General features: G+C 44.0%; 1 annotated feature.

The window, feature by feature from the left end:
• Window positions 763-1,630: an enhancer, noted in NCBI's record as "OCT4-NANOG-H3K27ac-H3K4me1 hESC enhancer chr13:106752643-106753510 (GRCh37/hg19 assembly coordinates)". NCBI's record gives its function as "activates a minimal SCP1, AML or CMV promoter by ChIP-STARR-seq in naive and primed H9 embryonic stem cells {active_cell/tissue: H9 hESC(naive and primed)}" and the evidence as "EXISTENCE:reporter gene assay evidence [ECO:0000049][PMID:30033119]".

Raw genomic sequence — 2,407 nt, 5'->3', positions numbered from 1 at the left:
TTCGTGATTATTGCAAGGATATTTTGTCTGCAACAAAGGTTAGGTAATTTTAGAAACACCATACTAGGCTTTTTGCTGGGATATGACTTTATGGAGCCCTTGAGGAAACAGGCTCAGCCCATGCTACTGGCTTCAACAGAGAGAAGAAAAGGGATCTAATATGCAGGGAAAGAAAATACAAGTTAACATCTTATCTAAAAAAAGTTCCCAGCATAAATGTTTTATTTTCCTCAAATCATCTAGGATATTATTATGGTTAACTTTTGGCTTTAATCCCTCAGATATCACAATAATTAAATTTCTCTTACTTAACAAATATTTCCTGAGCACCTCTTACGTGCCAGGGACACTGTGAATAGAGTGGGCAAAAATCCCTGGTGTTCAGGGCCTGCCTTCTAGAGCCGAGCTGAGGGACTGAAGGAAAGAAGGTTGTCGAGGCATCCCCAGTTCTACTGTCATTATGTGGTCGCTTATGGGACTTCAAAGGTTTTATGAGGTTGAGCAGAAACCAGACATGGCCCACTTTACTGGCTGATTTTTCAGGCAGTTAATGAGATTTTTCAGTAGTATAATAATTGCTTGGTCACCCAACATTAGTCATAAAAGTAAATTTGAAGAGGGGTCAGACCACAGACCACTTTTTAAAAGACCCTCCTTTACAACATTTTTTTATTAGGAAACTTTTACTGTGAAATCATAGTTAGGGAAATATTTCTTCGGTCTCAGAGAATTATCTTTCTATTCTTTCTTCCCCCACCCTAGAGGCCACCTACTTCAGATTCCCTTCGCAGTGTTTGTTAAGTGGTTATCGTTATGCATTGTTAATGCCCCAAACACAGCTTTACATAAAACAGAAAATTTGAAAAGGCACTGAATACAAAAATAAAATATTCTCAGGGTACCCTTCATGTAGATTTGCTCGGCCGGCGGAGGGAAATGGACTTTAAAATTAGGTCATTTGCGTTAGAAACCCTAAGAAGCAAAGTTCCTCCATTCTGAATGCAGAAGTTAAAATCCAGGCCATTTTAAGACAGCTGGGGCGGCAGGGAGGAGAGAGCAGGACATGTAACTTTGTGTGACAGGCCGTCATGGCAACCGCAAAGGAATCCCCACCCCAGGGTGTGTGCCATTCACAAACAAAGGTGCTACCCTGCAGTCTTCAGGGGGAAATGTCTGGCCTTTTATCTCCTGCAAATTCCCCAGGCTCTAGGGAGGCCACACAAAGCAGGGGCTTTTTTTTTTTTCTGTGCTTACTCAGTCTCACTAGAAGGGGCCCTTTCTTCCAAACTCGGTTTCCCTTCCTGCCTCCCCACCCCCCAACCCAGCTAGTTTCTGCCCTTCCTGCCTTCTCCCCCTAAGCCAGGTGTGTCACTGCAGCACATCCCCTTCCTTATATCTCTGGGGACACCCTCAGCTTCTGGATCACAGCCACCCTGCCCTCTTTCCTAAGTCAGGCTGCTAAGCGTTAGGGAGGAATTTACTCTTAGTAAATTCTCAGTTCTTAGTAGGGCACCTCCCTCCTTGCACGCCCTGCCCTAGGGTGGGGACAGAGGGTGTGTGGCCTTTACTTTGTGAGAGGTTCCCAGTTTTGCTTTTTCAACGAAAGGGAACAAGTCATTTAAAAAGATAAGCACTGAGCCAGGGTTAAGGGAGAGCACAAAAATAAGATCATTAGAAATTGCAATTGAAGCCAAGTCTAACTTCGTGTCCAAAGATCAGGATTCTTGGCCTTTGTCACCACTGCTGAGTTCTCCTTCTTAAGGGCCCAGTTTGCTTTTTATAAGCTTCAAGTGCATTGTCCTATTTGAAAGATATCTTCTGCTTAGACAAAAAGAATTCTAACTTTTATTCCTTCGTTATCACACGTCCTCGGCCCCTGATTTGATCTCGGAGCAGGGCTCCAGGCAAACAGTGCCCCCTGAACTCTCGCCTCGGCTTCCCCGGCCTCCTCCCTGAACTCTCGCCTCGGCTTCCCCAGCCTCCTCTCCTCTTTGCAGTCTGGTTGCCTGACGCACGCAGCGCATGCTTGCTTGTCACAGACTGCTAGAATGCAAAACGATGAGAATTAATGCTGTTATTAAAGGATTTTTAAATTAAATGTGCAGTTTAGAGCCAGATGCTGCCTTCTTAAAGGAAGAGAAGTTTAAGTTAAAAAATCTGACAGATATTCGTTCCATCTAGCGTGGCAGAATTTATGGTAGATTACCGTCTTTGATTTCTGTGGCCTGGGGTTGTCAGGTCCACTTGCAAATGCGCTGTGGGAAAGAGTTGCACTTTTGTAATTTGAAAACATATGGGACATATGGTAAATATTACACCCATAACTGTTACGAAGTTCTGTTTCCTTAAAGGACCTTTCTTTTTTGCCTGTACCCTCCAGGGGATTACTTGCAAGAACCCCATTATC

Source organism: Homo sapiens, chromosome 13, assembly GCF_000001405.40.
Source record: "Homo sapiens chromosome 13, GRCh38.p14 Primary Assembly".
NCBI classification, from domain to species: Eukaryota; Metazoa; Chordata; class Mammalia; order Primates; family Hominidae; genus Homo; species Homo sapiens.
The sequence above is the reverse complement of the archived record's forward strand: the minus strand, read 5'-3'. Positions and strand labels throughout refer to the sequence as shown.